Consider the following 19897-nt stretch of genomic DNA (forward strand, 5'->3'; position numbering starts at 1 on the left):
TCTGATATGGAGTCTCGCTCTGTGACCCAGGCTGGAGTGCAATGGCGTGATCTCAGCTCACTGCAACCTCTGCCTCCTGGGTTCAAGTGATTCTCCTGCCTCAGCCTCCTGAGTAGCTGGGATTACAGGTGCGTGTCACCACGCCCAGCTAATTTTTGTATTTTTAGTATAGGTGAGGTTTCACCATGTTGGTCAGGCTGGTTTCAAACTCCTGACCTCATGATCCGCCCACCTCAGCCTCCCAAAGTGCTGGGACTACAGGCGTAAGCCACCATGTCCGGCCCAAACTTTTTTTATTTTTGGAAGATTGATAGAATATTTAAAATTTGTTTTGGTGTTAAAAAACAAAGTTCTGGCCAGGTGTGGTGGCTCACACCTGTAATCCCAGCACTTTGGGAGGCCGAGGCAGGTGGATCACCTGAGGTCAGGAGTTTGAGACCAGCCTGGCCAACACGGTTAAACCCTGTCTCTACCGAAAATACAAAAAAAAAAAAAAAAAAAATTAGTTGGGCATGGTGGCAGGTGCCTGTAATCCCTGCTAGTCAGGAAGCTGAGAGGCAGGAGAATTACTTGAACCCTGGAGGCAGAGGTTGCAGTGAGCCGAGATCACGCCACTGCACTCCAGCGTGGGCAACAAAAGTGAAAACTCTGTCTCAAAAAAAAAAAAAAAAAGTTCTGGTTAAACCACACGTGGTTTTTAAAATCATTACACATTCAATTAGCAACATAATGAGGACTCATTTTATAAAAGCCTTTTTGTTTTTTGAGATAGAGTCTCACTCTGTCACCCAGGCTGGAGTGCAGTAGCGCGATCTCAGCTAACTGCAACCTCTGCCTCCAGGGTTCAAGTAATTCTCCCGCCTCTCGGCTTCCCAAGTAGGAAGGATTACAGGCACCTGCCACCAAGCCCAACTAATTTTTGTATCTGGAGTAGAGACGGGGTTTCATCATGTTGGCCAGGCTGGTCTTGAACTCCTGAAATCAGGTGATCTGCCCATCTTGGCCTCCCAAAGTGCTGGGATTACAGGTGTGAGCCACTGCACCCAGCCTATAGAAGCATTTTAATGCGAGTAAGGAAGGCCCTTCTAAGCAGAAAGGGAAAATATATGAAAATTTTAAGCTTCTTTATGTCACAAGATATCAGAAACAAAACTCTTGATAAAGAAATCTAACACTGGACAGAAAATGGGTAGATGGCCCACACAAGTAACTCACAAAAGATACAAATGACCAACAATCGAATGAAGACATCCCATCTCAATAGTAAAATAACTGAAAATAAAAATATTTCCCACCTGTTAGACTTGCAAGGTTAAAATAGATGACATGAGGGAAAAGGATTTTTTTTTTTTTTTTTTTTTTGGAGACAAGGTCTTGCTCTGTCACCCAGGCCGGAATGCAGTGGCGCAATCATGGCTCACTACAGATCTGACCTCCTGTCTCAAGTGATCCTCTCGCCTCAGCCTCCCAACTAGTTGTGACTACAGGTGCACACCACCATGCCAAGCTAATTTTGTATTTTTTGTAGAGATGGGGTTTCACTATGGTGCCCAAGCTGGTCTCAAACTCCTGGCCTCAAGCGATCCTCCTGCCCCAGCCTCCCAAAGCATTAGGATTATAGGCATGAGCTGCTGTACATGGCTAAAAGGAACTTATACATACTTCTTTTTGTGAGAGTCCAAATTGATACAAACTATTGTTTAATGGTAAGCTGACAATATTTCTCAATTTAAAATGTGTACCTGTTTTGCCCAACAATTCCACTTCTAAGTACCCTCTCGAAGAAGTAGTAAGATTAGTGTCCCTAAGGATGCCCAAGGTTATAGTTAGATATAAAATAGTGAAGACCTATCAATGAGAGTGAGTTAAATACAATTTGATATAGCTATACAATAGAGCAGGGGTTGGCAAACTTTCTCTGTAAATGATTAGATGATAAATATTTTGACCTGTGGGCCAAATGGTTTCTATCACAACTACTCTGTCATTGTAGTGTGAAAGCAACCATAGACAATTTGTAAGCAAATGTGCATGGTTGTGCTCCAATAAAACTTTATTTGCCAAAACAAGTGGCCTGTGGGCATAGTTTGCCAGCCCTGCAGCAAAGTATAAACAATTACTAAAACTAACAGTTGTAGCTGGGTGTGGTGCCTCACGCCTGTCATCCCAGCATTTTGGGAGGCTTAGGTGGGAGGATCGCTTGAAGCCAGGAGTTCGTGCAGATCAGTCTGGGCAACAAAGAAAGACTCTGTCTCTACAAAAAAAAGAAAAAAAAAATTTTAAAGAAAAAATTCCATAGTTCTATGTTAATTGATAAAGCTCTATGAAATAGATTAGTAAATAAAGCAGACTACAAAAACATCTATCTTAACAATTTACGTAAGATTATATAGATGGGTGTATATATACACACACACACACACAGAGACACACACACACAAAGTACATATACCCACATAAAGCTATCTGTCTAAACGGTATTTTTTAAAAACATTAAATGAGTTATCTCTGAGTAGTGGCAGTTCCAGGAATTATACTTCCTTTTTTAGTACTTTTCTACTATATTTGCTTTCTACAGTAAGCATAAATAATGTGTGTCAAGGATAAACAATCTAGCTATTTAATTTGGAAATAGAAAAGCGCTGTCCGTAAAAAAAATTGAACAGCAGAGTTGAGTAGCTATGATATAGACTGCTTGGCTGGCAAAACCTAAAATGTTTATTTTCTGGCCTTTTACAGAAAAGATCTGTCTATGACCCCTGATACTTATACAATATTAGATGAAGGAGCATTTAAAAAATCTCCTCAGCTTTCTCCAAGAGTCTTGCAGATTAGAAATACACCAAAACTGCCAGGTGCAGGGGCTCAATCCCAGCACTTTGGGAGGCCAAGGCGGGCAGGGCAGATCACCTGAGGTCAGGAGTTCGAGACCAGCCTGACCAACATACATGGTGAAACCCCGTCTCCACTAAAAACACAAAAATTAGCCAGGCATTGTGGTACATGCCTGTAATCCCAGCTACTGGGGAGGCTGAGGCACGAGAATCACTTGAACATGGGAGCAGAAGGTTGCAGTGAGTTGAGATCACACCACTGTACTCCAGCCTGGGTGACAAAATAAATAAAATAAAAATACACCAAAACAAATACAAAAAGAACCAAAGTCTAACGTCTAAAATACACTTAAGATGTGATTCTGGAAATCCAGCAGCCTTCAAGCACAGTGAAAAGCTAATGACAAGAAGTTTACAACTGTAAAACTCCCCTTATAGTGGCAACTTCTTTGATTAAGTAAAAGCAGACATGGGAACGCCCATACAGCTCCTCTTACCTTGTGATCACATGGTAGTAATAAATCTTCCCTTCTGGATCTCGAGCTGTCTTCCAGTTGGGAGGTAAGACAATGGTTTTTGGTTTGGGAGGAGAGGGGGGCGGCAGATCCAAGAGATTATTTGTCACAACCATTTCAGACTACAAAGAAAACACACACATTTTTGATCAGTGATCTCTCTCTTAATCTGGCTGAATAGGACAAAATAGCCCACTTAAATATGTAAAAATGTACATCTACCTCCTCTTAAAAAAAGGATAAAGGAAAGGTACAGTCTGGGAAATAAGGGACAGTATATATAAAGAGGTTTACAGAGCTATCAGAAAATTGACAGTTGGCTCTAAGTTTACCATCCAAGATACCATATAGTTTATCATATAGAGCAGCATTTTTCAACTTTAAAACACCAATTCTAAGGCATATCAACTGCAGGATACCAATTAACTAAATGGGATACAGAAATATCTTTATCTTTAAAAAAAAAAAAAAAGAAAAACCAAAAAACCCCCTGAGAAGCAAATATGACAGAATGTTAACATTATCCATTATATTTTTTCCGTACTTGAAACCTCAAAACTATAAAATATTAGTGCCACATTCTGAAAAACATAAAAACCTCATAATCACTTATGGACTGATTTTTGTTTCCCCAAAACATGTATGTTGAAGCTCTAATCCTGCTGTGACTGTTACTGGGACACAGGGCCTGTAAAGAGCTAATTAAGATTAATGAAGTCAAAAGAGTGAGGACTTTTTATCTAATAGGATGGTGTCCTTATTAAAAGAGAACTGACACCAGAGGACACTCACAGAGAAAAGGTATATACAGCAAGAAGGCAGCCATTTGCAAGCCAAGGAGAGAGGCCTCAGGAGAAACCAACACTGCTGACACCTTGATCTTGGACTTCCAGCCTCAAGAACTGTGAGAAAATTTCTGTTATTTAATCCACTCAGTCTGTGGTATTTTGTTACCGCAGCCCTAGCAGACTAGTAATCACCACAAGGATATATACTTGTTCCTTCTTTCAAGCCTATTAATGAAGAATACATTTTTTACCTTTACCTTTGCTTGCACAGTTAAAGAGGAACCTGAAGACCCCAGGCTCAGATAAAATGTGTTCACTTTTAAGCAAACACGGGTCTTTGAGCATTCTTGCTTTGTGTATACTCTTTTTTATCTCTTATTTCACCCAGCTGGGGTTTTCTGGCCCAGCTTAAGTTTCAATTCCTCCATTACCCTATCCTTTAGCTTATAAAGTGACCTCTTTTCCCCAAGCTTCTGTGTCCCTTAATATTCCAAACCATTTATCTCTTAATAGTTTAAGGCAAAAAAGAAAAAATATATATTCCAAACCATTCAGTACTTATTCCCAACACAAAACTTTATTTTTAGTGTAGTCACCATCTTTCTCTTGTGATCATCATCTCTCTTATTTGAAAGATCAGCTTTTAAGAATACAAATGGAAACTTATTTATGTTTGTATTAAAAATGCCTAGTCGGCCAAGCACAGTGGCTCATGCCTGTAATCCCAGCACTTTGGAAGGCCGAGGCAGGTGGATCACGAGGTCAGGAGTTTGAGACCAGCCTGGCCAACATAGTGAAACCCTGTCTCTACTAAAAATACAAAAGTATTAGCCAGGTGTGGTGGTGTGCACTTGTAATCCCAGCTACTCAGGAGGCTGAGGCAGGAGAACTGCTTGAACCTGGGAGGCGGAGGTTGCAGTGAGCCGCGAGATCAAACCACTGTACTCCAGGCTGGGCAACAAAGCAAGACTTCATCTCAAAAAAAAAAAAAAAAAAAAAAAAAAAAAAAAAAAAAAAAAAGGCCTAGAAGGGCTCAACTCGTAACAAGCACTCAAACATCTGCTCTAAGTACACATTATCTTATTATCCTGTTATTTCACATATAGTATTTTTAGTCCATCTTCACTAACTGTCCTGTCTAAAGTCATCATCAATTGCTGGATTGCTGCAAGAGCTTTCTCCAGAACTGTAGGTGTTCTAAAGTGCTGATTTGACCATGCTATTCTGTTTAGTTTTTTCAGTTGTTTCCCATGCCAACCTCTTATTTTCCACTTTATCCAAAAACAACAACACTTTGAGATTTCACCATATCCTCCTACATATGTTGCAGAATACCAAAAGCTTATCTTAATATTAAACATCATATAAAAAACTTTTTTTAAACATTGTACAACATGTATAGTGAAGTATATCACACAATTCTACATGCCTAGTCCATGGTGACTAGTACAGTATCATATTCTAGTACAGGTTAAGCAGCCCTAATACAAAAATACAAAACATTTTGAGTGCTGACATGACACTCAAAGGCCATGTTCAAAGGAAATGCTTATTGGAATATTTCAAGCTATACATTTTCAAATTAGAGATGCTCAAGTGGTAATTATAGTGCAGATATTCCAGAATCCATAAAATTCTGAAATGTGAAATACTTCTGGTCCCGTGAAGCTCAGATAAGGGATACTCAACCTGTACGCGGTAAATACTGATAGATAGCTGGTCTAGGAAATTGTTACTTCGGCCAGGTGTGGTGGCTCACGCCTGTAATCCCAACACTTTGGGAGGCTGAAGCGGGCGGATCATGAGGTCAGGAGTTCAAGACCAGCCTGGCCAACATGGTGAAACCCCGTATCTAAAAATACAAAAATTAAGGTTGGGCACAGTGGCTCATCCCTGTAATCCCAGAACTTTGGGAGGCCAAGGCGGGTAGATCACGAGGTCAGGAGATTGAGACCATCGTGGCTAACACAGCGAAACCCCGTCTCTACTAAAAATACAAAAATTAGCCAGGCGTGGTGGCGGGCGCCTGTAGTCCCAGCTACTCAGGAGGCTGAGGCCGGAGAATGGTGAGAACCCAGGAGGCGGAGCTTGCAGTGAGCCGAGATCATGCCACTGCACTCCAGCCTGGGCGACAGAGCAAGACTCCATCTCTTAAAAAAAAAAAAAAAAAAAAATACAAAAATTAGCTGGGTGCAGTGATGCACACCTGTAGTCCCAGCTACTCAGGAGGCTGAGACAGGAGAATCACTCGAACCCAGGAAGTGGAGGTTGCAGTGAGCCAAGATCGTGTCACTGCACTCCAGCCTAGGTGACAGAGTTAAAAAAAAAAAAAAATTATTACTTCAAAAATTCATAGTAAAATATAAAAATACAAGGTCAGGGTAAACAACAAATAAAAAGGATCCTAGGAGCATTTTTTTTTTTTTTGAGATGGAGTCTTGCTCTGTCACCTGGGCTGGAGTGCAGTGGCGCGATCTTAGCTCACTGCAAGCTCCGCCTCCCAGGTTCACGCCATTCTCCTGTCTCAGCCTCCTGAGTAGCTGGGACTACAGGTGCGGAGCAAAATATGTATTAACGGAACTATAAATTCCACAGAATTAAAAAAATTTTTTTTTTACAAAATGGTTGAGTTCACGCCCTCAGGGTGGCTCAGGTGAATTTGGTGGCTACACAAATTTAAAAACGGGCCGGGCGTGGTGGCTCATGCCTATAAATAATCCCAGCACTTTGGGAGGCTGAGGCGGGTGGATCACCTGAGGTCATGAGGTCAAGACGAGCCTGGTCAACATGGGGAAACTCCGTCTCTACTAAAAATACAAAATTAGCCAGGCGTGGTGGCACACACCTGTAATCCCAGCTACTCAGGTGGCTGAGGCAGGAGAATCGCTTTAAACCAGGAGGTGGAGGTTGCAGTGAGCCAAGATTGTGCCGCTGCACTCCAGCCTGGGTGACAGAGCGAGACTCTGTCTCAAAAAAAAAATAAAATAAAATAAAATAAAACAAAGAACACGTGAAAAAAAAACCCAAAAATAAAACCCAAAACAAATCCAAACCAAAAAGAAAACCTTCCAAAGACAAAGTAGACAGCCAATGAGTTTTAACAACTGAAACATTTCTTACTGGCTGCAAGGGCTGAGGCTGCCCTGGTGCAACTATTGTAGTCACTGCTGCGGCTGGCTGTACCACCACTCCTTGTGGATGAGCTGTGAAAATCTGTTGCCCCTGGATATACTGAAGACTTGGCTGGGCATAACTCTAAAAGATAAAATGAAGAAATCAATAATTTAAGCTTTTGTCACTTTAATAAACAGACTGACTTCCAAGTTGGCACAATCTTAAAGATATACCCATAACATTTTAAAATTTTTTGTTTATATATTTGGACATAAATGTGCAAAACAATTTTTTGTTTCAAACCCCAAAGTTTCTTTTTTTACTAATTCCCTATTCATTTACTTACTTTGATTTTACTTTATCATAAGAAAATAAAAGCTTTTTTTTTTTTGGTCATAGAAATTCTCCAACTGTTTAGCTTTCAATGACATTGGAATGACATTGAAAATTAAACAGGTGGACAGTTTCTATAAGCAAAAACCAATGAAGTGCTGCTCCTGGGATATCCAAGAAACAATGCCACGCTGCTCTTTTCAGGAAGGCTTTTGCTACCAACTTGTAATAACAAACAGGTTGTTTGGATCAGAAAAGGTCAAAGGGTGTGAATCATAGTAAATAAGATGATCAAATTTTAAGCTACCTTTTGTTTTAGCTTTTTGTAGTCTTCTATGATAAAACCCCTTGGCAGAAAGCAGAATCAATGCATCTGAAATTCTCACAACACACCAATTTATACAGTGTTCTATGATGCAAGAAGCCCCTTAACATACATCATCTCATTTAGTGCTGACCACCATCAAAACCAGGTACTGCCCATGCCTGGAGTTTCATAAGAAATAAGTACTATGCTAGGGCTTAAACCTACTCTGTAATTATTTCTCAAGCATAGAAAATCTGCTTAAATAAGAAGAGGTGATAAGAAGACTGAAAAATAGCCTTGCTGTCCTAAGAGGTGGTGACTGTTAAGGAATTGAATAGACATGTATCCTGTGCTTAAGGAGAGATTTTGCTCCTATGGACTGAGATTCTAGCAGGTAAAATGATTACAGAAACATCAAATGCTAAGTACTCAAAATACAAAATATAATTCCAAATGACACCAGTAAAAACTCAAGTAGTCTGAATAGGCAATGCAGCTATCTAGCAGGTTTCTGAATGAATAATTACTGACAGGACACAGGAAAAAGGAAAAGAACACTTAATTTGGTATTCTGGATCAGCTTAATCTACTTGGATAATAAACCAGACTGAAAAACATTAATTGTTAAGGCAGAATTACCATCAGAATAGTATCACAAAGCCTGAGAGGAAAATGTACAGTCATGTATTGCTTAACAAGGGGGGTACATTCTGAGAAATGCATTGTTAGGAGATTTCATTGTTGTGGTAACATCATATAATGTACTTTCACAAACCTACTAAGTGTATGAGGTACTTACACATCATACAGTGTACTTCACAAATCTATTAGATACCTAGGCTATATGGTATAGTCTGTTGTTCCTAGGCTACAAACCTGTACAGCATGTTTCTGTAATAAAGACTTGTAAGCAACTATAACTTAACAGTATCTGTGTATCTAAACATGGAAAAGTTACAGTAAAAATACAGTATAAAAATTTTTTAGGCCGGGGCACGGTGGCTCACACCTGCAACCCGAGCACTTTGGGAGGCCAAAGTGGGCGGATCACGAGGTCAGGAGATCGAGACCATCCTGGCTAACACGGTGAAATCCCATCTCTACTAAAAATACAAAAAATTAGCCAGGCATGGTGGCATGCACCTGTAGTCCCAGCCACTCAGGAGGCTGAGGCAGAAGAATCGCTTGAACCCAGGAGGTAGAGGTTGCAGTGAACCGAGATGGCACCACTGCACTCCAGCCTGGGCAACAGAGCGAGATGCCGTCTCAAAAAAACAAAATTTAAATGGTACACCTGTATAGGGAACTAACTATAAACAAAGCTTGCAGGACTGGAAGTTGCTTTGAGTAAGTGAGTGGTGAGTGAGTGAATATGAAGGCCTAGGACATTACTGTACACTACTGTAGACTATAAACACTTGGGCTACACTAAGTTTATTAACATTTTTTTAATAAATTAACTGTAACTTACTATAACTTTTTTACTTTATAAACAAATTTTTTCAACTTTTTAACTCTTTTATAACACTTATCTTAAAATACAAACACATTCTACAGCTGTATAAACAACCCTCCTCCCTCCTCCTCGCCAGGGTGGAGAGCAGTGGTGCGATCTGGGCTCACTGCAACCTCCACCTCCCGGGTTCAAGCAATTCTCCTGCCTCAGCCTCCCGAGTACCTGGGACTACAGGTGCGTGCCACCACGCCTGGCTAATTTTTTTTATTTTAGCAGAGACGGGGTTTCACCATGTTGGCCAGGATGGTCTCCATCTCCTAACCTTGTGATCTGCCCACCTCAGCCTCCCAAAGTGCTGGGATTACAGGTGTGAGCCACCGTGCCTGGCCTATATTTTTTTTAAAAAAGAGTCTCATTCTGTCACCCAGGCTGGAATGCAGTAGTGTGATCATAGCTTACTGTAGCCTTGAACTCCTGGACTGAAGCAATCCTCCCATCTCAGCCTCCCGAGTATGTGCCACCACGCCCAGCTAATTAAAAACAAATTTGTAGAGACAGGGTTTCGCTATGTTGTCTAGGCTAGTCTTGAACTCTTGTGTTTGAGTGATTCTCCTGCCTTGGCCTCCCAGATTGCTGGGATTACAGATGTGAGACAACACACTGGGCCAAATATTTTTTTTATATCCTTATTCTTATTCTATAAGTTTTTTATAGAATAAGTTTTCTAAATATATATATATATATATATATATATATATATATATATATATATGTATTCTTATATATATAAACTTATTCTTTTTTTTTTTTTTTTGAGACAGAGTCTGGCTCTGTCGCCCAGGCTGGAGTGCAGTGGCACGACCTCGGCTCACTGCAAGCTCCGCCTCCCGGGTTCACGCCATTCTCCTGCCTCAGCCTCCCGAGTAGCTGGGACTACAGGTGCCCACCACCACACCTGGCTAATTTTTTGTATTTTTAGTAGAGATGGGGTTTCACCTTGTTAGCCAGGATGGCCTCGATCTCCTGACCTTGTGATCCGCCCGCCTCAGCCTCCCAAAGTGCTGGGATTACAGGTGTGAGCCACCGCGCCTGGCCTATATATAAACTTATTCTATGAGTTTATATTATATATTAAATATATAAACTTATTCTGAGTTTATATTATATATTATATATATAAACTTATTCTATGAGTTTATATTATTATATATAAACTTATTCTGAGTTTATATTATATATATTATATATATAAACTTATTCTGAGTTTATATTATATATAATATATAAATTTATTCTGAGTTTATAGTATATATTATATATATAAACTTATTCTGAATTTATATATTATATATAAACTTATTCTATAAGTTTATATATTTGTACATATATTTATATGTTTTTCTTATATATATAAATTTATGTTTCTTATATATATAAACATATATATATATGGGAAAAACATACATTTTGATAGAGGAAACATGACCAAGTATTTCATAGATCAGTAAGGTATCTATATTTTAGAATAATCTTATTGTATATTTCAAAATAGCTAGAAGAGAATAATTGAATGTTTCTAGCATAAAGAAAAGACAAATATTTATGGTGATGGATATCTCAATACACTGATTTTTACAAATTATATGAATATATTAAATTATCACATGTACCCTGAAAATATGTACACCTATTATGTATCAACATAAAAAAACAAAAACTAAGATATAAACACACACACTAGCCTAGGCTTACACGGAGTCAGGATCATCAAGATGTCAGAAGGCCAGAAGAATTTTTCACCTCCATAATAATCTTACGAGGATCACTGTCATAAATGCCATCTGTTGTTGACCAAAACGCCATTGCATGGCACATGATTGTATTTATGTACAGGCTGAGCATAAACATTTCTGATTTCCCTAATCAGAAATCCCAAATGCTACAAAATATGAAACTTTTTGAGCGTCCACATGGTGCTCAAAGGAAATACTCGCTGGAATATTTTGGATTTTGACTTAGGGATGCTCTACCACTAAGTATATATAACGTAAATATTCCCAAATCTGAAAAAAATCCGAAATACAAAACACTTCAGGTCCCAAGCATTACAGATAAGGGATACTCAACCTGTATACATTTCCTCTCTCTTTTTTTTTTTTTTTTTTTTTTTTTGAGACAGAGTCTCACTCTGTCACCCAGGCGGAAGTGCAGTGGCGCAATCTCAGCTCATTGCAACCTCTGCTGCCTGTGTTCAAGCAATTCTCCTGCCTCAGTCTCCTGAGTAGCTGGGATTATAGGCGTGCGCCACCAAGCCCAGCTAATTTTTTTGTATTTTTAGTAGAAACAAGGTTTCACCATGTTGGCCAGGCTGGTCTTGAACTCCTGACCTCAAGTGATCCCCACACCTCGGCTTCCCAAAGTGCTGGGATTATAGATGTGAGCCACCGCACCTGGCCTATTTTCTTATCCCTCTACTCATACCATGTGCAAGTGACCATATTCTCTTGCCATGACCATTATTTGTCTCCCTACATTTTTTTTTTTCTGAGACAAGGTCTCACTCTGTTACCCAGGCTGGAACGCAGTGGTGCCATCAAGGCTCACAGCAGCCTTGACCTCCTGGGCTCAGATGATCCTCCTGCCTCAGCCTCCCGAGTAGCTGGGACTACAGGAGCATGCCACCACATCCAACTAATTTTTGTATTTTTTGTAAAGATGAGGTTTCGCCATGTTAACCAAGCTGATCTCAAACTACTAGGCTCAAGCGATCCTCCCACCTCAGCCTCCCAAAGTGCTTAGATTACAGGCATGAGCCACCATGCCTGGCCAGTCTCCTACTTTTGCCCTTGACTCCTGCAATCTCTTTTACCCAGAGCAGCCAGTGATCCTCTCAAAATATGTCAGATCACGCTATTCAATTCTAACTGCTCCAGTGGATTTCCACATTACTCAGTCTAACAACCAAAAATCCTTTTAAAGCTCCCCCTAAGACCCTATTGTAACTTCTTTGACTTCATTTCCTACTACTGGTATCTTCACTTATTTGGAATAGAATGGGTTTCATAATTACCTAACATATTTTGAGTGTGAACATTTAATATTCTGATATTGATTTTATAAAATAATAAAAAAGCTAGTTCGAATTCTAGTTTTGAAAAAAAAAAAATCACCAGGGTAAAACATGTTATTTCTAGAGTGACCAGGAAGTCAATCATCCAAATGTACAATAGAAAACTGCTAATATTTTGGAAGACAAAATTTCTTTGGCCATCAGTGACAATATGTTCATGAAGAATTTTTCTGACAAGACCGGATGTTTAAGTAAGGCTCATTATGCAGACACTAGTATTTGATTCATATGGAATAAAGCTGTGGTTTAGAAGAACACTTCCAAATGTTGGCTGGGAGATAACAACAGCAGTATCTACTTATGTTAAAAGCCTAGACTTCTAGGCTTTTAACAGTATTAATTTGGTTTCTATAAACCAGTTTGACTGGAATAATGCAGAAGATATACACGTTTGTTGACACATGTACATATATCATGTGACTTTTCTATTTGCTAAGGAAAAACCTATACGAGATTTTTGTTTTTTCTGTATCACAGAAAAACATGAATGTTCGTTTTTTTGTACCCAGGCTGGAGTGCGGTGGCACAATCTCGGCTTACTGCAGCCTCAACCTCCTGGATTTAAGCAATCTTCCCACCTCAGCTCTCCCAAATAGCTGGGACCACAGGCATGTGCCACCACACTCGGCTAATTTTGTTTACTTTTTGTAGAAACAGGGTCTCACTATGTTGCCCAAGCTGGTTTCAAACTCCTGGGTTCAAGTGATCTTCCTGCTTCAGCCTCTCAAAGTGCTGGGATTACAGATGTGAGCCACCACGCCCGGCTGAAAAACCTGTATCACATTTAAAGAGCCCACTCATTCAAATGACTTAAAATTACACAAATGTGGCCAGGCATGGTGGTTCAAGCCTGTAATCCCAGCACTTTGGGAGGCCGAGGCAGGTGGATCACCTGAGGTCAGGAGTTCGAGACCAGCCTGACCAACATGGCGAAACCCTGTCTCTACTAAAAATACAAAAAATTAGCTAGGAATGGTGGTGCACACCTGTAATCCCAGCTACTAGTGAGGCTGAGGCAGGAGAATCTCGAACCTGGGAGGCAGAGGTTGCAATGAGTCGAGATTGCACCACTGCACTCTAGCCTGGGTGATAAAGCCAGACTCTGTCTCCAAAAATAAAAAAAAATTGTTACACGAATGCTAGTTTCTCAAATATATACCCACTAGAAGTATCTTTAAACTGTGACTTTTTTTTATTTTTTGAGACAGAGTCTCGCTCTGTCTCCCAGGCTAGAGTGCAATGGCGCAATCTTGGCTCACCACAACCTCCACCTCCTGGGTTCAAATGATTCTCCTGCCTCAGCCTCCCCAGTAGCTGGTATTACAGGCACCCACCATCATGCCCAGCTAATTTTTGTATTTTTGTAGAGATGGGTTTCACCATGTTGGCCAGACTGGTCTCGAACTCCTGACTTCAGGTGATCTGCCCACCTTGGCCTCCAAACGTGCTGGGATTACAGGAGTGAGCCACCATGCCCGGCCTAAAATGTGATTTCTAATGGGAATTACAGAAGAAATGTGAGAAGGTCCAATAGGTTATAGAGAGAAAAATACAATTTTTCTGTTACCACCTCTAGAATAATAAAAAATCATTATTACTTTATATCTGGATCACTTCACTTTATACTATGTCAGTGCAAAAGTAGTTTTCACCATTTTTAACAGCAAAAGCCATGACTACTTTTGCACCAACCTAAAATGAAAAATTATAGTCTAAGCACTCAAACTCTTGAGATGTAATTTTGTATAACTTTGTGAGAGTAAGTCACTTATTAGTGTCACAAGACCACTACAAATTACGTGACCTCTGTTAAAATTGAGCTTTTATGTTTAGTATGCAGTTGTGTAAAAAAATCAGTCACCTCTGATAACACATTTGCTCCAAATATTAAAGATACTGAATATGTAGATACACAGACGTAAATGTATATTATATCATGTTACATATTACTTCACCGCCAAGGTTATCACAGCTTGCAAACTCTGAGTAGCCATGTTGTATGGTTAACACTGGGCTTCAACAACACAAACTTCAAGGCTCCTAGAGGTCAGATTTTTAGGGCTAGACAACAGATGGATGAACATGACCAGATGTTACTTCACAGCCCATTAATGTCAATAATCTCCCCTGAATACTATTAAGGTAACTATTTGTGTAAGTAACCATCAAGGTATATGGTGCTTTGAATCTATCATTATTAATATCCCTTATCTTAATGCAAATCAAACCATTCTGAGGCATTCTGCTCATTTTATAGATGAGAAAACAAAGACTCAAGAATATTAATGCCTGTTTCTAGGATGCACAGTAAATGATAAACCAGGACTCAAAACACATACTAACAATATATTCTATGTTTCTCAATACCCCCAAAGCCCAGTATCATCTGATCAATTAATCTCACACAGTGGGGAACGGAAGGATAGTTGAACCACCACAGCCCATTTACCTACTACTTAAGTACACACAAAGTAGATTAGGGAATCAGTAAGTACTTCTTGATAGGGACAGAATGAAAGACTAGAAGCAAGTAAATTGTGATGCTTGGCTCTTAGGGCTAATGAATAAAACCAAGAGAATCTTTTTTTCTCATTGGGAAGGAATAAATGGATTTTATTTTATAAGAAAAATCATATGACCAGGGAGCTCTTTACTGAGGAGTCTTTAATGGATATCTTTCATTGCTGTTGCTTAGGCTCTAGTACTGAGATGGGACCTATTTCAGGAATAGGAATGGGGATAGACATAAACCATTTTTACTGTATCCCTGATACATATTTTTAGGGAAAAACTCAAAACTAATGGCTTGGTCCAAGAAAGAATATGGCTCATACCCAAGTCAAACTGACAGTAAAACAAAACCAAAACCAAAACCCAAAACATTCTGTAGGAGGGAGAATGAAACATACTCTCTCCCTACACACACACACAAACAATTCACACCTGATGACCAATAATGCCCACATTTTTACTAGCCTTCTGTAACAACAGTCATTTTAAACCAAACAGCAAACAAAAAGCAGAAAAAAACTATAAGCATGTTTAATGGAATGCTATTTATAATTATGAAAAATAACTTTTCATTTAAATGACTACCCCCAGTAAAATGGATGACTATATAAGCAAATAGGGTATTATACCCATTAAAACATTTATGTATGTATATGTATATGTACACACACACATATAGTATAATAGTAAATAATTTGAAAAAGTGGTTACAAATCATTTTAAGGAATTGAGTCAAATCTCTTTCCCCTACTCCAAGATCCCATCACAGTGGTCCCCATACTTATCCCCACTGGCTCCTCTTAAATAAAGTCTGACTTACTATCTTAAAAAAAAATCATTTTAAGTAGGAAAACATGGGATAAAAAACTTCAAGTCAAGACAAATATATAAAATACATAAAACTTGCTTTAAAGGATCATAAAAAATGAAAGTAGTTAATACAGTTAGGGTTTTAGTAATTAAAACAGGATACCTTGTCATGGCCATTTTAACAAATGTTTTAATACAGCTTCATTATGAAAATATGAACAGAAGTAAAAATTACTGTTTAATACTAAGTATTATGTGCAGGAAACATTGTTGGGAGTCTTCAACATCCACAATAATTCATTTTTAAGGGGTAATGAGGAGTGCTGGGAGAGAGACAGAAATGTGGTGATGATAATGCTTTGAACATTTTTTTTTCAAAGCTTTAAATGTACTGCTGGCCAGGCACAGTGGCTCACGTCTGTAATCTCAACACTTTGGGAGGGCCAAGGCAGGAGAACTGCTTGAGGCCAGGAGTTCAAGACCAGCCTGGGCAACACAGTGAGACCGCATCTCTTAAAAAAATTAGCAGGGTACAGTGATGCACACCTGTAGTCCCAGCTATTTGGGAGGTGGGAAGATCACTTGAGCCCAGGAGTTTAAGGCTGTAGTGAGCTATGATCGCATCACTGTACTCCAGCCCGGGTGGCAGAGCAAGACCTAATCTCTTAAAATAAAATAAAAAATAAAAAAAAGTTCTGCCGGCCAGGCACGGTGGCTCACGTCAGTAATCCCACCAGCACTTTGGGAGGCCGAGGTGGGTGGATCACGAGGTCAGGAGATTGAGACCATCCTGGCTAACACGGCGAAACCCCGTCTCTACTAAAAATACAAAAAAATTAGCCAGGCGTGGTGGTGGGCGCCTGTAGTCCAAGCTACTCGGGAGCCTGAGGCAGGAGAATGGCGTGAACCCGGGAGGCGGAGCTTGCAGTGAACCGAGATCGCGCCACTGCACTCCAGCCTGGGGGACAGAGCGAGACTCCGTCTCAAAAAAAAAAAAAAAAAAAAAAAAAAAAAAAGTTCTGCCTTGTATAATCTAAAAAAAAAAAAAAAGAAAAGAAAACATGATTTTTATTTATTTATTTATTTATTTATTTATTTATTTATTTATTTATTTTGAGATGGCATCTTGCCCTGTTGTCCAGGCTGGGGTACAGTGACGCTATCTCAGCTCACTGTAACCTCTGCCTCCTGGGTTCAAGCGATTCTCCTGCCTCAGCCTACCAAGTAGCTGGGATTACAGGCATGAGCCACCATGGCCGGCTAATTTTTTTTATTTTTTAGTAGAGATGGGGTTTCACCATGTTGGCCCGGCTGATCTCAAACTCCTGACTTCAGGTGATCCGTCCACCTCGGCCTCCCAAAGTGCTGGGATTACAGGTGTGAGCTACCACGCCTGGCCTGACCATGATTTTTAGAAAACACAAAAATATTACCATGATGAAGGGTTCTCCCTTGGGAGAAATGGAGGCCTGCTAACAACAATGTGAGTAGGTTGGAAAGTGAATCTCTATATCTAGTTCAGCCTTCAGATGACTGCAGCCATGGCCAACAGCTTGACTGTAATTTCATGGAAAACCCTGAGCCAGATCCACCCTGCTAAGCTGCTTCTGAGTTACTTATTGTCTTAAGCTGACAAGTTCTGGCAATATTTCACACAATAGATAACCAATACATATAAAGTTGATCAATATATACAAGTAGTCCATGGTAAGACTTCCTCCCCTATACCAGATTTAACTAACATCCCATGAACAGACCATAAAGCAGAAAAGAAAAGTTTCAGAATTAGTTACCTGTACAATTGGTGGAGTTGTCTGTGAATAAGGTGATGTCACACCATAGACTGTTGGACATGTCTGTCCTTGATAATATATGGTTGCTTGAGACTGTGCAGGAGAGTACTGCTGCTGTACACTGACAGACTGTTGGTTTGAATCCCAAACACTATAATTCTGTCCCTGAACTGGGCCGGGGGCCGGCACTGGCAAGACAGCAACGCTGGAGTCTTGGTGTACTACACCATCACTCTGGGCCACATACTGGGAACTGGAAACTTCCACAGGAGCTGCCACATGTGGCACCACTGGTACTGGTGGAGGGGCAGAAAGGGGTTCTGTAGAATGTCCCACCAAGGGCTGAGCATGATCATAAGGAGCAGGAGAACACACTGGGTCCATGCTGGGTGTGGGCAGGAGCACCTTTCCAGCATTAGGGTTGCTGGGATCCACATAGGCCTGCATGGGATAACCTGGTGGGTAACCAGCAAAGGGATGATGCGGGGCATTATAACCAAGAGAGTCATAGGGCAGTGGTGATGTCATTCCCAGGTTCTGCATCTGTTGCTGTTGTTTCTGAGCCTCCCGTTGAGCCACCTCTTGCTCAAACAACTTCCGGCGTTCCTCTGTAGAAAGTTTATTGCGGTCTTTAATTCGTACTTTCTTTTTAGAAGTTGGTGTATCATATCTAGAAAGAAAATAAGGACCACAAAAAGTTGCTCCCTAAATCATAGACACAATCAAAGCACTAATAAGTATTATGTCACTCATGACTAAACCACTAACCACATCAAACCCTATTTGGCACTGGTTTACAACTATACTCAAAATTACTCAGCTTGTCTTGCACACAGAACAGAATCCCAAGGAATTGACAAAGAGATGAAAATAATTTCATCTCTAATTTCATCTCTACCCTTAGTTTCTAGAATTTTAAGATTAAAGATAGATACAGCATCCTATTCTTTATAGCTGGGGACATTTCTATAATCACAAATTCTAAAATTAAAATAAAAAACAAAATAAGTGTCATAAACCAAGAAATAATCCAATACTCAATCCAATTTATTGTCCCTAAATTCCACAGTACGGTTAAGCAGGAGATTAGATATGAAGAGAAATAGTTGAAAAATAACCTTCAAATTCAAAAGTCCAATGAATTCCAACTGGGAAAAGAAAAAGAAATCCTCATAAAAACATACAGCAGAAAGACATATACAAAGAGAGCCTCTTAAAAGCAGACCAAGAGAAAAGCCCGATTAAAGAAGGATGAAAATTAGACCAAGTCTCACAAAACCAGTTAAGGGAAGCCAGAAAACTGAAGAATAAATAGAGTCAGAATGTTGAGAGAAACTATTTCCCCAAAAAAACTTCCTTTCAAAAATGAGGGAGAGGCCAGGCATGATGAGGCAGGCAGATCACCTGAGGTCAGGAGTTCAAGACCAGCCTGGCCAACATTGTGAAATACCCATCTCTACTACAAATACAATTAGCTGGGCCTGGTGGTGTGTGCCTGTAATCCCAGCTACTCAGGAGGCTGAGGCAGGAGAATCGCTTGAACCCAGGAGGCAGAGGTGGGAGTGAGCTGAGACTACGCCACTGCACTCCAGCCTGGGCAACAGGGCAAGACACCGTCTCAAAAAAAAAAAAAAAAAAAAAAAACACAAAGAGGGAGAATATTCACATAAGACTTGTACATAGCAGCAACATTCACAATAGCCAAATGTCTCTGAAATGATGAATTTATAAACTATGGTACATGAATACAATGGACTACTCAGCAATTAAAAAAAAACCTACCGAGACACAAAATAACATAGATGAATGAATCTAAAATGCAATACGACAAGTGAAAGAAGGCAAATTCAAATGCTATATACTATATATCACTTTTTTGACATTATGGAGAAGACAAAACCAGAGGGTCAGAAAGCAGATCAGTGGTTGCCAGGAGTTAGGGATGTGGAAGGGACTGACTACAAAGGGGCACAGGGGAATTTTTTTTTTTTTGAGATGGAGTCTCACTCTGTTGCCCAGACTGGAGTGCAGTGGCGCGATCTCTGTTCACTGCAAGCTCCACCCCCCGGGTTCATGCCATTCTTCTGCCTCAGCCTCCAGAGTAGCTGGGACTATAGGTGCCCGCCACCATGCCTGGCTAATTTGTTGTTGTTGTTGTTGTTGTATTTTTAGTAGAGACAGGGTTTCACAGTGTTTGCCAGGTTGGTCTTGATCTCCTGACCTCGTGATCCGCCTGCTTCAACCTCCCAAAGTGCTGGGATTACAGGTGTGAGCCACCACGCCTGGCCTTTTTTTTTTTTTTTTTT

At 40.0% G+C, this 19897-nt stretch overlaps 1 protein-coding gene across 7 annotated transcripts in view, besides 1 other annotated feature; it reads right to left on the reverse strand.

The window, feature by feature from the left end:
- SETD2 (SET domain containing 2, histone lysine methyltransferase) overlaps positions 1–19897 on the reverse strand; it is a 148405-nt gene that overhangs the window by 22794 nt on the left and 105714 nt on the right. For 6 of the 7 annotated variants that reach the window (NR_146158.3, XM_024453487.2, XM_047448045.1 and 3 more), the window contains 3 exons: positions 17592–18261; positions 7258–7392; positions 3332–3471 (listed from right to left, as the gene is read on the reverse strand). Coding sequence is in view for 5 of the 7 variants with exons in the window: in XM_024453487.2 (XP_024309255.1) it covers positions 3332–3471; positions 7258–7392; positions 17592–18261 (945 nt within the window). In the remaining 2 variants the exon portion in view is untranslated. Of the gene's footprint in view, positions 1–2130; positions 2255–3331; positions 3472–7257; positions 7393–17591; positions 18262–19897 lie in introns of all 7 variants that reach the window. The other variant, XR_007095670.1, reaches the window with a different exon arrangement.
- Positions 2110–2319: a silencer, noted in NCBI's record as "fragment chr3:47082829-47083038 (GRCh37/hg19 assembly coordinates)". NCBI's record gives its function as "represses an EF-1alpha promoter that drives an FKBP-Casp9 reporter gene in an ReSE screen in K562 erythroleukemia cells {active_cell/tissue: K562}" and the evidence as "EXISTENCE:reporter gene assay evidence [ECO:0000049][PMID:32094911]".

Source organism: Homo sapiens, chromosome 3 (genome assembly GCF_000001405.40).
Source record: "Homo sapiens chromosome 3, GRCh38.p14 Primary Assembly".
NCBI classification, from domain to species: Eukaryota; Metazoa; Chordata; class Mammalia; order Primates; family Hominidae; genus Homo; species Homo sapiens.